Below are 21,970 nucleotides of genomic sequence, written 5' to 3' on the forward strand. Positions count from 1 at the left end.
CTACTTTGTTGAAGGTTTTTAACCTGAAGGGCTGTTGAACTTTATTGAAAGCCTTTTCTGCATCTATTGAGATATCATGTGATTTTTGTTTTTAGTTCAGTTTATGTGATGAGTCACATTTATTGGTTTGCATATGTTGAACCAACCTTGTATCTCAGGAATAAAGCCTATTTGATTGTACTGGATTAGCTTTTTGATGTGCTGCTGGATTTGGTTTGCTAATATTTTGTTAAGGATTTCTGCATCTACGTTCATCAGAAATATTGGCCTATAGTTTTCTTTTTTCATTGTGTCTCTGCCAGGTTTTAATATCAGAATGATGCTGGCCTTATAGAATGAGTTAGGGAGGAGTCCATCCTCCTTGATTTTTGGGGAAATAGTTTCAGTAGGATTGGCACCAGCTCTTCTTTATACATCTGGTAGAATTTGGCTGTGAATCCATCTGCTCCAGGGCTTTTTCTGGTTGGTAGGCTTTTTATTACTGATTCAATATTAGAACTCATTATTTATCTATTCACGGTTTCAGTTCTTCCTGGTTCAATTTGGGAAGACTCTATGTCTATATCTATTCTAGATTTTCCAGTTTGTGTGCATAGAGATATTCATGATAGTCTGAGGGTTTTTTTGTATTTCTGTGGGATTGATGGTAATGTTTTCTTTATCATTTCTAATTACATTTATTTGGATCTTCTCTTTTTTTCTTTATTAGTCTAGCTAGCGGTCTATCTTATTCTTTCAAAACTCTAACTTTTGGTTTGATCTTTTGTATGATTTTTCACATGTCAATTTTATTTGTTCAGCTCTGATTTTGGTTATTTCCTTTCTTCTGTTCGCTTTGGGGTTGGTTTGCTCATGTTTTGTTAGTTCCTCTGGCTGTGGTGTTAGGTTGTTAATTCAAGATCTTTCTAACTTTTCTGTGTGGGTGTTCAGTGCTATAAACTTTCCTGTTAATACTGTTTTACCTGCGGCCAAGATTCTGGTGTGTTGTAACTTTGTTTTCATTAGTTTCAAAGAATTTATTTCTGCCTTAATTTTATTGTTTACCCAAAACTCATTGAGGAGCAGGTTGTTTAATTTCCATGTAACTGCGTGGTTTTGAGAGATCTTCTTAGGATTGGTTTCTGTTTTTATTGCATTGTGGTTCAAGAGTGTGTTTGGTATGAAGATTGTTTTATGTCTGATTGTGTGGTCAGTTTTAGATTATGTGCTGTGTGCAGTTGAAAAGAATGTATACTTTGTTGTTTTGGGGTGGAGAGTTCTGTAGATGTCTGTTAGGCCTATTTGGTCAAATGTTAAATTCAGGCCCTAAATATATCTGCTAGTTTCTTGCCTCAATGATTTGTCTAATACTGTCAGTAAGGTGTTGAAGTCTTCCACTATTATTGTGTGGTTAGCTAAGTCTCTTCATAGGTCTCTAAGAATTTCCTTTATGAATCTAGGTGCTCCTGTATTGGGTGCACATATATTTAGGATAGTTAGGTCTTCTTACTGAATTGAACACTTTACCATCAGGCAATGCCCTTCTTTGTCTTTTTTGATAACTGCTGATTTAAAGTCTGTTTTCTCTGAAATTAGAATAGCAACCCTTGTTTTTTTCTGTTTTCCATTGGCTTAATAGATTTTTCTCCATCCCTTTACTTTGAGCCTATGAGTGTCATTGTATGTGAGATGGATCTCTTGTAGATATCACAGAATTGGGTCTTGCTTCTTTCTCCAACTTGCCATTCTGTGCCTTTTAAGTGGGGGTGTTTAGCACATTTACATTCAAGGTTAATACTGATATGTATGGATTTGATCCTGTCACTGTGTTGTTGGCTGTTTGTTATGCAGACTTGATTGTGTAATTGCTTTATAGTGTCAATGGTTCATGTACTTAAGTATGTTTTTGTGGTGGCCAGTAACGATCTTTTGTTTCCATATTTACCACTCTCTTAAAGACCTCTTATATGACAGGCCTGGTGGTGACAAATTCCCTTAGCATTTGCTTGTCTGAAAAAGATTTTATTTTTCCTTTGCTTATGAAGCTTAGTTTGGGTGGATATGAAATTATTGGTTGGAATTTCTTTTCTTTAGAGTGCTGAATATAGACCCTTAGTCTCTTCTGGCTTTTAGAGTTTCTGCTGAAAGGTTTACTGTTAGCCTGATGGGGTTCTCTTTGGACATGAACTGCCCCTTCTCTTTAACTACTTTTAATATTTTTTCTTTGGCATTGACCTTGGAGAATCTGATGACTGTGTCTTGGGGATGGTTATCTTGTATAGTATCTCACAGGGGTTCTCTGAATTTCCTAAATTGGAACGTTGATATCTCTAGCAAGGTTGGGGAAATTTTTGTGGACAATATCCTCAAATATGTTTTCTAATTTGCTTGCACTTTCTTCTCTTTCAGGGACACCGATGAGTTGTAGATTTGCTCTCTTTATATAATGCCATATTTCTCAGAGGTTTTCGGTCATTCTGTTTATTTATTTATTTTGAGATGGAATTTCGCTCTTGTTGCCCAGGCTGGAGTGCAGTGGCATAATCTCTGCTCACTGCAACCTCTGCCTCTCAGATTCAAGTGGTTCTCCTGCCTCAGCCTCCCAAGTAGCTGGGATTACAGGTGTGCACCACCACGCCCAGCTAATTTTTGTATTTTTCATAGAAACAGGCTTTCACCATGTTGGCTAGGCTGATCTCGAACTCCCAACCTCAGGTGATCCACCCACCTTGACCTTCCAAAGTGTTGGGATTACATGCGTGAGCCACTGCACCCAGCCTGGTCATTTATTAAAATTCTTTTTTCTTCATTTTTGTCTGACTGAGTTGATTTGAAGAACTGGATTTTGAGCTCTGCGATTCTTTCCTCAGCTTGGCCTATTCTGCTGTTAATTCTTCTCATTGTATTATGAAATTCTTGTAGTGAGCTTTTCAGCTCAAATCAGTTTGGTTATTTCTTAAAATGGCTATTTTATCTTTCAGCTTTTGCATCATTTTGCTGGATTCCTTAGATTCCTTGGATTGGGTTTCAACTTTCTTCTGAATCTCAATGATCTTCATTGTCATCTAGATTCTGAATTCTATGTCTGTCATTTCAGCCATTTCAGCCTTAGGAACCATTGCTAGGAAGGAAAGGCAATTGTTTGGAGGGAAGAAGACATTCTGGCTTTTTGAGTTGCCAGAGTTCTTGGACTGGTTCTTTCTCATTGGCGTGGGATGATGTTCTTTTAATCTTTGAAATTGCTATCCTTTGGATGGGGCTTTTTGCTTTTATATTATTTGATGCCCCTGAGGGTTTGACTGTGATATAATTTGGGTTTAGTCAACTGGCTTCATTTCTGGATGAATTTAGGGGGCTAAAATTCAGCTCAGCACTCCTGAGCTGCATGCTGTAACCCTTGGGGACTGGGTCCAGGCCCATAGCTTTATTCTCTGGCACCTCGAGGTTATAAACCTATTGCACTGGAGGGACTGAGATATTCCTGGTCTTCTGGCAACAACACTGATCAGGGATGCTAGAAAAAGCACTTTGTTGGGGCAGTAACAGTGGGGTCTGTGCTTGCACGTGCACACCAGTGGCAGCGGTGCATTGGGGTCTGTGCATGTGTGTGTACTGGTGGTGGTGGGTTGACAGTGTGGTGGCGTCCATGTATGTGCACATGCACTGGTGGTGGCAGTGTGGTGGGGTTTACACACATGTATGTCAGTGGTGGTGGGGCAGCAGTGGCAAAGTCCACGTGCATGTGCACCCTGGAAATGCAGCGGCAGGAGGCTGTGGACAAGTCACACCAGCAAAGTGGTGAGGGGAGGCTGTGGGCAAGTGCGTGCTGGTGGGGGCCTCTCTGAAGAGATGTTCTCCAATGGTTAGGCAGAGTCTGCTGACGAAGGAGCTATGGCGGTGGCTACCAGGAAGTGCCCAGGTTGGGCAGCCAAGGCTGTGCTGCAAGCGGGCATGGCCATGTAGGGATCCCAGGAGAGGCAAGTAGACAGGGGGGTGCTAAGACAAGACTGGCCCAGTTCCATGGGCAAGATAGCCCTGCTCTGTCCAGGTCCAACATCCAATAAAGGGCAAAGCCCACTCAGGAGTGTGGCGAGCATTGGGGCGTCCCTGGCCATGCTCCACTGCAGCTGTTCCCACACCAAATTCTCTGGGCTCCACCTAGGCAGGAGTTCCATCCCTGCCACCTCTCCAAGCAGCTCTCTCTGCCAGCTCAAATGTCTCTGGGCATGGTGGGGTCTCCTGCAGCTAGGATTCCAGAGGCCCGTGGCAAGAGTGGGCCATGCCTCACTTATTTAACTCAGAGTGGGCCAGTCTTCTTGACGGTCTGCACTCTCAGTGGGAGATGCTCTTTTTGTCTGCATCTAGTCGACCATCTTAGATCTAGAACTTTTATCTTTTGTATCTAGCTCTGTATTGTTTAACATTTTTCCAAGTAGGATATCCTCAAATAATATTTGTGTAACTAAATGGTAAAGAACCATGTAAAACATACTATAATAATTCATCCCATCAGTAGTCTAAAGAGAAAAAAACTTACACTTGATGGATTCCAGAAAATTTTCTACCTTCTACTTATTCCTTGAAAAACATCTTAGTAAATAAGGAAGATAAAAAACTTTTAAAGCAAATAGTATCAGGAATACCTTTCTTAAAATGATGATGGTCATCATATTTCACAGAGAAAGGGTAAAACATTACCTAATAAAGTCACAGGCATAAGGCTTGGGATTCAATAACATGATTATTATTTAACACTCTTTTCAAAATTTTGGACACTTCAGTTCAACAAGAAAAGAAAAAGAACCCACTAATCTTAGTTGACAGAGAGAGAGAGAGAGAGAGAGAGAGAGAGAGAGAGAGAGAGAGGAGATGTCAATGTTGTTAAGAAGGATTATAAAATTTACAGATGTGATAATCTACATGACAAACCCAAGAGGCTCAACAATAAAAAATTACTTGCATATGCCAGTGCTTCCTGCCTGCCAGGCCCTCTGCTAAGTGCTTCATAGGCATGATCTCATTTCACCCTCACAAGAATCCTGTGAGGTCCATTTATTATTGTTTCTATTTTATAGAAAAGGAAATTAAGTTCCAGGAAATTAAGTTCCAGACAGGTGAAGAAGGCAGTGGCTGGTGAGGTGTGGAGCCAGGATCCAACCTGAGCCATCTGACTTTGGAGCTGCTTGAGTTTCTCCAGCCCTGCTACATACTTTAAAAGCCAAAGAATATCTTCCAGTAAGCTGTCAACATATAATAAATATATTTTTAAAAGCAATAGGCCAGGTGCGGTGGCTCACGCCTGTAATCCCAGCACTTTGGGAGGCCAAGGTGGGCAGATCACGAGGCCGGGAGTTCGAGACCAGGCTGACCAACATGGTGAAACCCCGTCTCTACTAAAAATACAAAAGTTAGCCGGGCATGGTGGCACGTGCCTGTAATCCCAGCTACTCAGGAGGCTGAGGCAGGAGAATCACTTGGACCCAGGAGGCAGAGGTTGCAGTGAGCCGAGATCATGCCACTGCACTCCAGCCTGGGTGACAGAGTGAGACTCAGTTCCGCACCCCACCCCCCCAAAAAAAACCCAATAACATTCATATATAAGATCAATGGCCAATCTGGAAATATCTGGGAAAAAATACATTGTATTTGCCATGGGATGAAGAATTATGTATTATCCAGCAGCATGCTTAAAAAGGACCAGCATAAAACTTTATTGAGAGGTAAAGAGAAAACTTGAATACATGGAAAGACATGCTCATTTGTAGCTTGGAAGTCAGTATTAAAAAGGTATTGATTATTCTGACAATTTACAAATATCTGGCAAATTCCAAATACATTATCAGCATTTTTGTCAGAGCTTGACTGACTTATTCTTTTAAGAAAAATATTTTATTTCAAAAACTCATTATATTAAAAAAGTCATTAAAAAGTGTGTCTAAAAAACATTTTCTTCAGAAGTAAGCATTGTTTATAGTGCTCTCTAACACATAAGCAGACACACATGGCTCTGCTATTTTAGCAAAATAATGTCAAAGTGGCACGTGCAGCTGGCTCAAGTGGGTCATGAGAATATATTACTACATTTTTAGGAATTTTGTGAGCTGATTGATAAACATAGCCATTATTAAAAATCAAATTACATAAACTCACAATTAAATTATTTTAAAAACACAAGTAATAATTTCTTAAAACTTCGAATCACTTCCTAATGATCTTGTTACATTTTGCTATTGTGTATGCTTTTGAGGTCATTTACATCTATTGTATCTGCATCATGGGCATGTTATATAATGGTGTGCTGCTGTGTATATCTTCTCAACTCTGTGATCAGTGACATCATGTTAGTAGCTTGAAATTGACCATGGTGGGAATATTTGGACCATGGAAGTTAGCAAATGCTACAATTCAAGACCTTGTCTTCTTTTCAGAGAGTTGGTTTTTAACGTAACAGCACACTGCCGGATTAAAATTATGCTAGCAGGAGTGATATGTATTTCAACTGTACGTGTGTATGTATATGTTTGGTGTGGTGGTGGTGGTGGTGCTGTGTGTGTGCATGTGTGTGTGGTGTATGTGTATGTATTTTTTCAGCAAGATGTGGAGAAAAGCAAATTATAGCTCCCTAGTTAGAAATAGAATAAATGAGGATGAGAAATACAGCTTAATACTACATGAGGCAAAAAGGGTTTCCTATGACAAAGTACTTAAAAGAGTTATCAAACTTAAACATGTCATGAATTTTTCTTTTATAAATGGAAAACGTTCCAGGTTTGCTGACCTTTTTTGTGATGAAAGCGGTGTCAATAAAATGTACCTAAAAGATATTTGGAAAAAATAAATACACTTGTCTTTTCAAGGCCAAGGGTATGTTGTAACAAGGGTGCAAAAACAATAGCCTTTTAAATAAATTCATGCTTTGGGGAGAGTATACTGAAAATGGAGAGTGAAAGTGTCTCCAGGGTTATGTGATTTCGAGGCTGAAAATGACGTAAGCAGGCCATCTATAAAAACTATCGTATCTGTTTACTTTAAAAACTTGGAAACAGGATATTCTAACCTTATAAAAAATCTTCTAAAATAAACTGGTTTTTTAGTAATGTGAAAAGATAAATCTTCTAATTATTTTGTAAGTACAACTGATTGACATCAGGAAAAATGGAAATTATTAGCTGAATTTTAACAAAGACCTCTGCAAAATTGGTGAATGAGGCTGAAAATGATTTTCACTATTTTTAGGCATAGCCCATGAAGCACTTCTTTCATTTGTTATCTATGCATATTGGCGAAGCCCCTTTTCAGTTATTTCAAAGCCATGTACTGGAATAATGTGAATTTAGACCTAGGACTGCACACAGCAACCTCACAGTGTTAATGATTATTAAAATTCAAGCATATTTACCTTTGCTAAAACACATTTTTTAAAAAGTGAGAACACAAAGATGCTGTGCCCTAATAATTAAAATGAACATGAAAACATTTTTATGATAGGTTCACGGGGCACATTCGCAGGTTTGTTACAAAGGTTATATTGCATGATGCTGAGGTTTGGAGTACAATTGAACCTGTCACCCAGGTACAGTGCATAGTACCCAGTAGGATATTTTTCAACACTTACCCCTCCCTGGCCCCCTCTTGAATTTCTCAGTGTCTATTGTAAAATAATGTTCTAAAAAACAGTTTATTATTTATATTTTCCTTTTAAAATTCCAAAGTGTGGAATTTGGGCTGGCAGCATCGGCATCCCCTGGGAGTTTATTAGGACTGCAGATTCTCAAGCCCCACCCCAGGCCTCATCTTATTGCTTTGAGTTAAATGGAGGAATCCTCTGCGTGGATGAGTTTTGCCATAAGTACAATCAGGAGATGACAGAGCTACTTTGCTCTTTGGTGGGTGGGTAGGTGAGACGGTTGAGAGTGGTCTGTTCTTCTGGTTGAGATTTTGAAGACTAGAGTAGTTCTTGATATTTTGAAGTATATTTATATTAAAAGAGACTTTCTTGGAGTAGGTGAAGCCACTACATGGTGTAATTCCCAACCCTACCTTTATGATGGCACCAAATAGGATAATTCTGCAATAATACTAGCTAACATGTAACACTTACCATGTACCAGGCATTGTCCTAAGTTCTTCTTAGAGAAGAATTTGGGCCTGGTCAGTCTAGCTCCAGAGCCCATGAATAAACCATTATGCTATACTGCCTGGGTATAAAATATATAAAGGAATAAATACCCACAAATTAGGGATGCATCTGCAGATATTTTTATTGATGGGGAACAAGATTAAAAAAACATTTGGGGACACTAGGCTAGTGGATACCAGCTCAAATGCTACTGTGACATAAAAAACCTTTCCTAATCTGGCCCAGCCAATGTCCCTGACCCCACTTCTTGCTCTGCCCCCTTAAAACCTGTGCTCTAAATTCCACCATCTTGAACTGGCATCCTGGCAGCTCCCTGAATTCCTAATGCTTCCTTCCATCCCTGACTCCTATCTCTCCTTCAGAACTCAGCCTGGGTACCGCCTGCCTTTCCTAACTATTTAATATCTGCCCTTCCCCCAAAAGGCCAGTCCAGGCATCCTTTGTACACTCTCAGCATTGTCTGCATACTCTGCATGACATTTGTCCTACTATTTTATAATAATCTATTCACTTGTTTGTCTACCAGCCTTGAGGGCAGCACTCTATCTTGTTTATTTGTGTATGTCCTCGTGCAGAGCCTGGAACATATTAGGTGCTGTTTGCATGAATGAATGATTGACGAAAGAGAAAGCAACCATTGCCCTAGGAGTTGTTCTAGGATCTGTTATTTGTTTAATGGCCACCAGAGGGGGGCAGACGAACAGGGTCCAGTGCACAGCACCCATCTAGAACTCTGGGTAGAGAATGTAAATACTTATTCTAGGGCTGGAAGGGAAGTTCAATGGTCATGTAAAGCGTTCCTCTGTTTTAGACAAAAATTAAACAAACCTTTCCAGGTAAGCACAGTGATATTTAAAGTTTTAAGTCAAAAAGAATTGTTTGAATCTAGGCAGACTTTAAATCTGAAGAGTTGGATTCTGGTTCCAATTCTAACATTATTTAGCTTGTCTGATCTCAGATGAGACCCTTGGATTTTGGAGACTCAGTTTCTGAATCTGACAAATGGGTGACATACTCATTTTTTCTACCTCCTGGGAGTGTTTTGTGACCCACAGGTAATAATGCACACAAGCACCCTAAAAATGACAAGTAACAAATAAAGTATAATAAAAATCAGGGGCTAAATAAAAATAATTTCAATCTCCCTTGTTCAAAATTAGTTTTCTGAAATGTGAGCTGAAAGCCAAGTATAAGCATGGAGTTGAAATGAGCATGGACTTGTGTTGAGACCACAGATGCATCAAGATTTCAAGCTGTGCATTATTTAGGCCATTTTATTCATTTGGCTCCCATTTGACCACCTCAGCTGCACTGCCAGAGGCCAGCTAATCCCTCTGCATCTAGCATCATCTATGCCTGGATAATTCACGTATCTCACCACACATGTATATCATTTCTTTCTTTTGTAAATGTGCATGAATGTTGTTACAATGAATAAAACACAAATTCATAGAAAAACTTTCATGAGTTTCCAGTCACATTTACCATAATCTATTTTTTCTTAAGAGATGGGGTCTAGCTCTGTAGCCCAGGCTGGAGTGCAATGTCACAATCATAGTACACTGCAGCCTTGAACTCCTGGACTCAAGCAATCCTCCTGCCTCAGCCTCCTGAGTAGCTGGGACTACAGGTGTGCACCAGCATGCCCAGCTATTTTTTTTGTAGAGATGGGGGTCTCACTATGTGGCCCAGGCCAGTCTCCAGCTCCTGGTCTCAAGCAATCCTCCCACCTCGGCCTCCCAAAGTGCTGGGATTGTAGGCATGAGCCACTGCAGCTGGACCCATAATATATTTTAAAAATCAACATATATTTAAAAATATATTTAGGATTGAGTTGCATTATATGCATATTGAACCTATGCAAACATGACTCTGTGGGTTTAGCAAAACAAAAAGAAAAGAAAAAGAGAAAAAAGAAATTCTTACAAACAGCAAAACAGAAATTAAACCACCATCTTTTTTTTTGAGACAGAGTCTCACTCTGTCACCCAGGCTGGAGTGCAATGGTGCAATCTCGACTCACCGTAACCTCCGCCTCCTGGGTTCAAGGGATTCTCCTGCCTCAGCCTCCCGAGTAGCTGGGACTATAGGCATGTGCCACCACGCCTGGCTAATTTTGTATTTTTAGTAGAGATGGGGTTTCACCACGTTGATCAGGCTGGTCTTGCACTCCTGACCTCAGGTGGTCTGCCCACCTTGGCCTCCCAAAGTGCTGGGATCCCACAGTCTTTTAATAGAGTTGGTGATTTGGCTCCATGAAGGGATGGATGCCCAGGCTGAGCACAGATTGGTGGATGTGACTGCTTCCCCTCAGTGGGTTTCAGCTCTTGCCCAAACCTCTCATGATAGAGTGTATTTCTGTATTTGTCAGTAATTTAAGAAGTTTTAAAGGGAAACTTTTACATGAGCAATCATTTTGTCTTATATTTATCTTTTGAAGCCAGCTCACCATAGAAGATGCTACTCCACATGTGGAGGGAACATGACATTTTGGGGCACAAAATAGGAATCCATCAGTGGAAACACTGATCTAGCCTAGAAAACAGACTCCCAGTGCCTTCCCAGAGATTGGGGTGGAACCCAGACCTTTCTCGTTAAGATCAGTGCTCTTTCTACCCACAGCTGTGCTAGTTAACATGCCTTGCACTCTGGAGCCCATCCTCCCCGCAGGCCTGGGGGAATCCGTGAACGCCTAAACTGTGCATACAGCCGAGGCTACTCTTTCAGTACAGGCAGTCTATCCCCACGCAGACAGTTTTTACTCACAAATGTTTGTTTTTCAGGGTCCTGCCTGGTCATCATTTCCACTGTCTTTCATGTGTTACCTTTATATTGGAATCAGAATGTGAGCTGGAAGCAATTTTCAAGCCGGTTTTGAACCTCGGTCAGGGCAATCAGAGGCATGTGTGAAGAAATCGCTGAGGCTGGGCAGCCTTCAGGCCACCAGCACTTGGTTTCCTTTTCTCCCTTCCTCCCTCAGTAATGTGACGGCCAGATGCATCCTATGCCCCAGCACCACCTCACCCTCTGGCCTGGTTTTTGAGCTTCCTTTTCCTCTTGGGTGAGGCCATGTTTCCTTGATACTTCTGGCCTCTATTCCTTGAAGGCCGGAAGGCACTCTTGGGGCGGGGGAGGGCCAGTCCCTCGACATGGAGGGGAGGGTGCTGAGAGGGGTGGGGGCAGCAACAGCAGCTGGCAGGCCCAGGGTGTGAGCGGGCAGGCCTCTGTGGGCACCGGGACAATGGCTCGCTCACCCCCTCACCCTCTAAACTCAGCAAGGCTGAAGCGCTGTTTGGTGCTGGCTTCCCTCCTCTCTGGTGGGTGAAGAGGTCTCCCTATGAGGGGAAGTTCAGCATTGAGCTTCCACAGCAAACTCTCCAAATGCCAAAGGAGGCTGTGGAAATTAGGATTATCATGGCTCCAGAGGTTTACGGACCATCTTGAAAATCTGAGGTAGATTTTATCTGGGGTGGTGGAAGTTTTCTCTGGCTCCCATGGCTGGCTGGCTGGCCTGAGCTTCTATGGACAGAATTTTGTTAGATCCCAAGGAAAACTTGCCAATGCTGAGAGCTCGTAGACACCAGAATAGGTTGTGAAGACAGTGGAATCTACTTTGGCGGTCCTTAAAAATAGAATAACTTCTCTTCACTCTGTAATGGTCTGGAATGACAGTCTGTTAAAAAAAAAAAAAAAGGAAAACATGACAACCACAAAGCTCTTAATTTTCAACAACTCTTGAGTTTAAGCTGTTTTAGATTTGCTGCAAGTCCTCACATCCTTTGATTGCCTGTACAATATTAAACACATATTGAAGACGCTTTGCAACATGCCCAGATACTAGAGCTCCAACGCAGAGGAAGGAAATTAATATTTGGCAGAAAATCCCAGGGACACAACTTTGTTTGGAAAATTATGTCTACCACACAAATGGAAATTAAAATTCACCTCTGAGGGACTGATAGGATTTTTCCCCATTAAGTAACCTCCTACCTCTGTTTAATTGTGTAAGGAAGTTTGTAACCTCTGCATACTCTCGCCAGGCTCTGTCCTCATTTCCTCACCTCTTTTGTAATCTAGGTCCCAAGACTTCTAGAAGACTCTCTCGATGGGTCTTTATTCCCCAATCGCTGCTTTAACAGAGACATGTGGAGGCAGGAGACTGGGACGAGGGAGGCAGCTGAGAGGCAGTTAAGGGAACACTGAACCGAGACCCTCTTTCACTCCCTTTGCCTTCTCCAGCCATACCCTCGGACCTTGGTCCTCTATACTTGGCTATGGTTTCTGAACCCAAGCAATGACATGGGATCTGACAAGGGCAAGTGTACTTATGGGCAAAGCAGGATGTGGTGTACTTGAGACTGGTTCTGTCCCAGGGAATTGGGAATCCTAGTGATGGGTCACATACGAATCCCCTAACTAAAAAATCAGGTACATGCCAGTTCACTTCTTTAGACCTTGTTTGTGTGGCAAGAATGTCACATACAAAAGAATTCATGCATAGATGAGGCCATGTCAGTCATGACTTAGTGTGAGAGCCATTTTAGGATGTTGGGCAGCCCTGGGCATGCGATCTTTGGTGGCGTCTGCACCATCCCAAATGCAGTAAAAGGTCCTTCCACCTCCTTGGGAAGTACATGGATGTGGCAGTTGACATCATATAATGTTCAACGTGCACTTAAACATTTATTGAATTATATTTATTCTATTTGAGAGACAATATCATTTTTTTTAGGTCTCAAATATTTCTTAGGGCATTCAAAATTACTGTGCCTGTAGAGCCAGTGGATAAAATGTCCTAGGCATGGAACACTGGCCTAGAGGACTAGACATGAAAAATAAAGTATGCATACCCCTTTAGCAATACCCTGCAAATGCAAACATAAGCATGACCTTAAAATGTATGTTTATGGTGAGGAGAGGGCAGTGGTGCTGTTGAGAGAAGGAAGAGTCTCAAAATTTCCAGTGAGCAGAAATTACTTGACTCATCCTGACTGTCTTCTCATCCTGACTGTCTTCTCATTCTGACTGTCTTCCTTGGGAGTGAATGGAAAGTAATAATGTTAATTAAAGGGGAGCAAATGTCCTTAGGTTTGCCTTTATTTGGGGGAATAGTTTTTGTTTTATTTTTAGGGAACCTTCAGGCTGCTTCCCAATGATGGGGCCCATGACTTTGGCACTATAGTTCCCTCATCACAAAGTCTTCCACCATGAAGGTCTCTAGGACCCCCACCATAGGTATGAGACTCTTTCCATTTGTAAGGAATGGAGGGGAATACTCAGTTGAAAATTTGACGATGGGTATTCACATTCATTTTAAGGATACACAAGGAAAGTGAGGAGTGCTGTTTTGTCTCAGCAAGTGCACTGTTATCCACACGACAAATATTTGTTGAGCACCGACTGTGTGATGACTGTGTTCTAGGCTGTAAGGACTCTAGCAGTGAACAAGACAGATAAGGTTCCTACTTGCACGGAGCTTGTATGTTTGATGGATAAGAAACAAAGGGCATAAATGAATGAGGTGACTTCAGATGGTGGTAAGTGCTATGAAGGAAAGAATCTGGTAACATGGTAAAGAGGGATAGGGAGAAGGGTGTGAGGCTACTTTAGATTGCATGGTCTGAAAGATTTCTTAGGAAGTAGAATTGTAACCAAGCCTTGAGAGTTCTGAAGGAGCCAGCTGGGAGTAGGTCTGGGAGCAGAATTTTCCAGGCATAGGAAGGTACTGTTGCAATGCCCCTAAAACTTTGGCAAGTTTTAGGAACACAAAGAAAGCCAGTGGGGCAGAAGCATAGGGAGTAAGGGTGAGTGCTGGGAGATGAGGTCAGGCCCAGAGAAAACCACAATGTGTTCAACACTAGTCCCAGTGGTTGCACTGGTGCCCCAAATATCTTGTCCCCACAGAATTGAAATCAATTTTTTTCTACTCCATTAATTCTGTCACCCTCATGACTCAGTAGCTTTTTGAATGGGCTTCTCTCTCTCAGTGCCTCATCATGAACATCTTTCTGCTTTTCTATCCCTCTCTTAATTCATTTTGCATTAAAAATTCCCAAGGGTGAGGATCTGGGTATGTTGATTAATACTATCTAATAAGAAGTGGTCCTATTGGTCAGAGTCTCACACTAGGCTTTGTTATTGGCTGCTGGTCTCCCTTAGGTCCAGCTTCCTTGGCCTGGACTCCTGGTTCAATCAGTTGTGGCCAGGGTCTTATGACCTAGAGCTTGGCAACTTATTTTGAAGGAAACTGTAATAACTACTTTCATCAGGATCAAGTTGTGTATTGTGTACTGTGCCAAAATTAAAGAGACTGACAGAATTCTTAGAGAAAGGATATATATGATCATCTCACAGGCTATGAACCTAATGAGGCTTTTTACAAAGGGCTTAGTTCTTAGCTACTCACTGAACATTCCCCAGGGACAACTGAGTCTGATCCTGTACCATCCAGATCTAAACACTTAGAGGTTAGCTGTTCAATGTAACCTCTTCCTATTGGCTTTTTCTTTCTGCCAATTATATCTTTCATTCCCACATGCATTTATGGTATGTCCTTGCCATTTTCTTTCTCCTTTATCTGGACTGACTATGTGGATGGCTTTAACATACAGAACAGAGCAGAAGTACTTTATATAAGAGAACTGCAGCATCCACCTGTTGGAACACCCCTTCATGGAACCCAGCTACTGTGCTGCAAGGAAGCCCAATTAGCCATGTGAGAAACCAAACTGGATAACTGAGGCCTCCAACCAGCAGCCCCAGCTGAGCTCCCAGCTGACAGCCAGCACTAATTGACATTTATGTGAGTGAAGCCATTTAGGGCCTTCTAACAATCCCAATGCCCCCAGCCAACCTTAGTTTAGTATACACACACCTTACCCCAGCCAAACCCAGTGAAGTATTCACACACCGGATCAACCCACAGAATTGTGAGAAATAGCAAACTGTTTTGTTCAAAGTCCCTAAGCTTTAGAGTGGTTTTATGCAGTAATAGTTAACCTTGCAAGGGACAGTAAATAGATTACACTGAATGCATCATATTCAGCCTTATAGAACTTCAGAATCAGATACAGATAGCAAGGGCTGTAGGCCTATGAAAATTGAAAATGAAATTTTCATTTTACTTGATAATTGTTTCTTTGGAGAATCAATAGAAGAGAAATCCTTTCTATCCCAGTGACAGGCAGCCGAGGCCACACTTGACCCTATCGTGGTGGTGGTGATTTAGGGAGAGACTGCAGGCATAGAAAGGCAGGGAAGGGAGGGAACCGGAGTCAATTCATGTGTCGATAGGGAACATTAAGTCTGTGACATTTTGCTCAGAAGGTTCAGAATTTGGCATTGTTGTTTCCTATAGAATGAGGGAAGTTCACATGGATATTATTTATTATTCGGATGCTAATTCTTTGAACGGTGAAATGAAAAACCTCCTGCTTTCTCTCTCCCCTTTCCTTTCACTTTCTGCTTCTCTTTGCTTTGCTCACACTTTTCCTTTTTTCCTTCTTTTCAAAGAGAAGAAACAACAACAATGTCCAAACCTGTTTTTGTGCTCCAGCCTGAAATTCAGATTTGGTCTTTACCCAAAGTCAATATTTTGGGAGAAGTTTGAACTAAGTCATTCATGCAATCTTGCGTTTCAAGTATGAAAAATCCCCACAGTTTTCTACTTAAAAGGAAATAAAAAGTCTGAAAGCGATGTACCAAAAATCTATCAAACACTGGAAGCTGTCAACTTCAAACCTGGCAGGAAAAAATAATCACCAAAGGCGGAAATTCAAGTCAAGTGTGAGTAGAGTGGCCAAAGCTTGTAATGTGTCAAAGGCACGTAGACCAGAGCTCACGCAGGGTATTCGCAGGTGAAACCCTGCACTGCAACTGACCTGTCACTATGCAGGAACCTCTAGACAGGGGCCTCTTGTTTGGATAATTGTGGCGATCTCAGTTAATTGGTCTCCCTGATTCAAGTCTATACCTTTTTAAAATCACAAATCTGATCAGGTCATTTTTCTGTTTACAAATTTCAGTGACTGCCCATTGTCCTAAGGATAAATCAATACTTCTCAGCAGGCCTTAAGAGTTGACAGGCATGATCCAGCTATGATTCCCTCTCTGGCCACATCTCTGGTCACACCCAGACTCACACCCCTTTCCCCAGTCACGCTGAGCTCCATGGTGTTCCAAGAATGTTCATTGCTCTCCAGCTTAAGTCTTTGTACATGTTGTTCTTTCTCCTGGAACCGCACCTCATTCTCAACTCTTATTTGTCCAGCAAGAATCATTTCAGATGTCACCTCTTCCAGGAAGGACTAGGAATATCCCATCTGAATTCCCACAGTATCTGGGAATTTGTCATGTTGTGTAATAATGGTCAGCTTACATGTATATATCTGTCAGTAAACTATTAACTCCCTAAGGGCAGTTGCCATGCTATATTTAATTTTTTTAATTCTTAAAACCTAACACATAGTGCTTGGCATATAATAGATGCTCAATAAACCAATGTGAATAAAAAAATAAATGAATGTCCCTGAACCCTACCTACATTTTTGCATCATGGGAAGAAACCAGAGGGATATAGGGTAGCAGGGCTTTGAGGTGACCACACAGTTGAGACGCTGAGACCTGAAAACAATTTTATGACCATGTCATAATTTTGCCAAGAATTAATTCTTCCCTAAAAAATGTCTCCTATGAGAACCTACATCCACAGCCATGCAACATGACAGTGTTCTTGTTTTTTGAAGTCTTGTTACAATGGACTCTGTCACAGAGGCCTGGAATTTAGTCATTTAATTAACAAAGATATTTTGAGCTTCAACTGTGCCAGGCCCTGTACATATAGAAACATGAAGACAACATGACTTGTTTTCCTCAAGGAGCTTATACTGTAGTGGACAATGGGTAACAGGGTTTGGTTTTGATTTGATGCTACTCTGGGGGAGGGCTGCCTCATTTACTGGGAACTCAGCGGACCAACGTTAATTCTGCTCTAAAAAATGCTTAAATTTTTTTTCTAGGAGAAAAAAAATGAATAAAGCTCACCCAAGAGAATAAATGTAGATGACATATCTCATCATGGAAACAAAACCTTTTTTTTCTTTTTTAAAAAAATGATACATTGACAAATAAATAAGACACCGGAGGCAGATACTTAGAAATCAGGAAATTCAACCTGTGTGCTTCTGATGTAACTCAGTCACAAGGATGAAACAGACTTTTCTCCCTAGAGGCCCAGTCTGTCCCTAAAATCCTTGAGAATTGTGGTCCAAATTCTGTTGGTGGGATAAATTTTTTTTTTTTTTTTTTTTTTGAGATGGAGTCTTGCTGTGTCACCCAGGCTGGAGTGCAGTGGCGCAATCTCGGCTCACTGCAAGCTCCGCCTCCCGGGTTCACGCCATTCTCCTGCCTCAGCCTCCCGAGTAGCTGGGACTACAGGCGCCCTCCACCACGCCCGGCTAATTTTTGTATTTTTAGTAGAGACGGGGTTCACCGTGTTAGCCAGGATGGTCTCAATCTCCTGACCTCGTGATCCTCCCACCTCAGCCTCCCAAAGTGCTGGGATTACAGGCGTGAGCCACCGCGCCCGGCCAAAATGTCCTTGAGTGAGATGTGTAGTAAGGGAATGGGAGATGGTGAGAGCCTAAAATGGGTCTTTGGTTCTCTAGGCCAAACCCAGAACTGATGCTGGGAAGGATTTCAATATGTAAACAACATCAATGACTGGACCTATGTCAACGGATCACAGGAATATAGGATGGATGTCACACAGCAGAATTTGACCTAAAGTGATTGCAAGGAGAGCAGGAAAATATGCTCCAAATTCTTCTCTGAATGTCATCCACCTAATCAACTATCCAATCTGAAATATCCACTCACTTTTGCATTTCTTCTCAAAGTTAAACTTCTGATATCTAGAAATATACTTAAAAGGGGAACCTCAGGAGAGCTATTTGCTTTTTAATAATATTGTAAATTATTGACTCTAATTATTTCCTCCCTCTGTCCACACCCTTTGCCATCTATATTTACTATCTATATTTGTACTTCCCTGACCTAGACTTGTGCTTTAGCCAATGGAATGTGAGTGAAAGTGATAATATGGCAAAGTTTTGGGTCTGTCTTAAGTGACAGTACTTGATTCTGTTTGCCTGTCTTGTATCTCTACCATTACCATGAGAAGAGCTTGTCCTGGGAAGCTCCTGCCTCCTAGCAATGATGAACACACATGGAGTAGACATGAGCCCCAAATCAGTGAGGAGCCAAGCCCAGCTGTACCTTCAACTTGCTTCAGAGATACCTAGCTGATGCTAGACTAGATTAACAGAACCACACCCAACCTTTGAACACACAAGCAAGAATTAATGATTGTTGTTTAAGTCACCGAGTTTTGGGTTGATTTGTTACCCAGCAATAAATGGCTGCTACAAATAATAATAATAATAATAGCCAATTTGCCTATGACTTGACCAGGATCATTCAGCTAGTGACCAGTGCAGATGGAATTCAAATCTGCCTCTAAATTCCATACTCTTAATCACTTCCTTATATGATCTTGAGAAATAAACCTAGTTAATACTTAGGTGAGTTATTTTCAGGCAGAAATTTTTATCCTGGAATTAAGACAATATGAGAAAAGACATACATTTCTTTTCACATGGATTACAGGGAAGAGGAGAGCTATAGTCATACCAGAATAATTCACTCATAAGAAAATTCAGTCAGGGCCCCCAGATCTGACAGAGAGGGAACAGCATATTAAAACAGAAAACTAGAAGAAAGCAGGATTCAGGATTTAAAAATAGCAGGCCATAAAAAGTACAGATGAAGGGCTGCCCAGTATGACCACTATCATGCTAGAATTTGTCTGCCTCTTACTATCTTTGTGGTCTTCTCTGTGCCTTAGCTTTTCATCTATGAAATAGGAATAATGAAAGTAACTACTTCATCAGGCTGTTCAGAGGATTGAATGAGTTGGTGTGTGTCAAGTGCTGGGAAGAGTGTCTGGCACATTGTAAGCAGTGTATGCGTGTTAGCTTAGTGGTGCCTCTAGAAGGGAGCACCATACTTAACTATCTGCCTGGTATTTCTGACTCCACCACTGTGATGGTTTTGTATTGTGTCAACTTAGCTACTAGAACTACATTTCCCAGAATTCCTTCCCCTGTATGGTCTAGATTAGGAGTGCCATGTGAGGAATCTGCGTGAGATTTGGAAGGTGAATGTGGAGCATCAGCCATCACTGTCTGGAGGTCGGTGTCGGACACAAGGGGCTGCTGCAGTCTTCACTCATCACGGACCTACACAGGGCAGCAGCTGGGCCTGCACCTCCTCTCCTCCTTCTGGACCTCCTCCTGTAGCTGCTCTGGCCAGGAGTGTGTGTCACTCCATGATGGAGGATCCCAGCTTGCGGGTCACCGATGTGGTTGAGATTGAGATGGTAGAAGACAGATATGACTTGCAGTTGGTCCCTGTGGATTTCAGTTGGTCCTTATGGATTCCTCTTTGTCTTCACAGATTTTCGTTTTCCTTGCTTTTTTGCACTTCATGCCCAGCTTTCCATCCAAACAGCCTGGCCTGCTGACCCATAGCAACTTCAGGATTGGCCCACCAAATGCAGAGGGAACAGCCTTGCACAGACATCTCCACCAGCTCCCATCATGACTCCAGGTCCAATCTCTATTGCAAATCTGTGTTTTTCTACATCATTCATCGTGGTCATGCTTCCTTGATTGAACCTTGCCTGATACATCCCCCACCACATTGCTCTGTGAGTTGGATATAAGACAGTGGTACCACTGAAAGCTCAAGGTTCTTTTTAACACATTTTGCATTTACTATAACTCTAAGCATTTTGGCTCCCAACTGCCACCCTTTGCCTTCTCTCTATTTCCCCAGAACTTCTCTGTGGGAGGACTTTGAGCAATAAGGAAAGAGTATTGACTGCTGAAATTCCACAGAAAAAATATCCAATTTCTTTCTTCAGCACAGTGATGGGTGGGGTTAACCACAGATTTGTCATCAGATTTTAAAATCAAAGCAGTAAGATTTTCCTAAAAATAAATGAAAAAGAAAAAGAATTCTATTTACCTCAATATTGCTATTTTCACAATTTCCTAGAACAAGTTGTACGGAGTAATACAAATGCTAAGAAGGTGGGTCCAAATGAAATACAGAATTCATAATAAGAGGATGTTGTTACTCAGAAGAAGGACAACCCAGTGTGCTTTGAGATGGTATTGCAGCAATGAAAACAAGCTCAATGTCCATGTCAGATAAACAATTGTCGTCACAGCTCTGGAAGTTTGGGAAGTGACTCATCTTCAGGAATGGGCAGTGAGTGAAGACAACTGTTTACCTCAGCCCTTTGGTGGTTGACACAAACATTCTTTTCTTCCCCTGTGACTTGGCCACTGGGAGATGCTGTTGCAGCCACGTGCATCGGCACCCCAGCTTCCACCACATAGATGCTCACCTCTCCTGCCCCGTGATGCCTTACACTCTCTGCCCTCAGGTTCTTACTGTCCTTAGGGGTGGAAAATCTCTAAAATCAGTGGATTTCCTGGTAAATGGGGGAGAAAATAATTCAGGAAGCCTCTCCTTGCAAGGAGGGACCATTGTTAGGAACTTTTGGTCTGAGATGCTATGGCTGAGTCCAGGGGGGCAACAAAGAACAGACCAGTTCCAAACTCGATCAGCTAGCAAAAAAAAAAAAAAAGAAAAAAAAGAAAGGGACTAAAGGGGGTGTAGAGACTCTGGTGGAGGCAGGGCAGAGCCAAAATCAGGGAGAGGATCCTCCCCTGTCAGTGGGAGGTAGTGATTGCTGGAGTCAGGGCCACAGCAAGGTCAGGGATGGAGGAATGGAGAATTCATGCAGGAGAAGCTTGGCTGGAGCTGCAGTGAATCAGAGGGTGCATCACCAGCAGGGCTCTGGCTAGCTGCACTGTTGTCTTTTTCTGCTTTATCTGAGTTGTTTCATTACCAGGACCCAGAATTTCTACTGCTATAGCCATAGAGGGCTGACTGCTCAGGAAGCAGGGTGGCAGTGGAGGCATGTCATCCAGAGAAGTGCACATCCTTGCACCAGGACACATGAACAACAATGTTCACAGTGGCATTGCTCATAATAGCTCCAAATGAGAAACTAACCAAACGACATCAACGTCAGAATGGATCAAGAAATGGTGGTATATTTATAAGTAAACTGCAGCTGTTTATACAGTGGAATACTATATTCATTTCCTAGGGCTGCCATAACAAATTAGTACAAACTGTGTGGCTTAAAATAACAGGAATTTATCATTTCACAATTGAGGAGGCTAGAAGTGTAAAATCAAGGTATCAGGAGGGTTGGTTCCTTCTGGAGGTTCTCGGGGAGAATCTGCTCCATGCCTGTCTCCCAGCTTCTGGTCTTTGCCTGCAATCCTTGGCATTCCCTGGCTTGTAGCTGTCATCACTCCCATCTCTGCCCCCATCTTCACATGGTACTCTCCCTGTTTCTCTCAATGTCTTCACATGAACATCTTATAAAGACAACAGTCATCAGATTAAGGGCCCCCCAATCCGGTATGAATCATTTTAACTGATTACATCTGCAAAGGTCCTGTTTCCAAATGAGGTCACTTTCTGAGGTTCTATGTGGATGTGAACTTTTTGGGGGACACAATTCAATGAGTGCAAATACTATACAGCCATGAAAATGAATGAACTACGGCTGCATGCAACATGGCTGAAACACAGACAAAATATTCAGGAAAAAAAGTTACACACAAAAGAGTATGCACTGTGGTGTTACACTGTAAAACTCAAAGTTAGGAAAAGTTAAACCATAGTGCTTAGGAATGCATAGTTTGG

General features: G+C 41.8%; 1 annotated feature.

The window, feature by feature from the left end:
* Positions 19,581-20,780: an enhancer, noted in NCBI's record as "BRD4-independent group 4 enhancer chr3:16101158-16102357 (GRCh37/hg19 assembly coordinates)". NCBI's record gives its function as "activates an origin of replication core promoter dependent on BRD2, P300/CBP, MED14 and CDK7 cofactors, and independent of BRD4, by STARR-seq in HCT116 cells {active_cell/tissue: HCT116}" and the evidence as "EXISTENCE:reporter gene assay evidence [ECO:0000049][PMID:35650434]".

Source organism: Homo sapiens, chromosome 3, assembly GCF_000001405.40.
Source record: "Homo sapiens chromosome 3, GRCh38.p14 Primary Assembly".
Classification (NCBI taxonomy): Eukaryota; Metazoa; Chordata; class Mammalia; order Primates; family Hominidae; genus Homo; species Homo sapiens.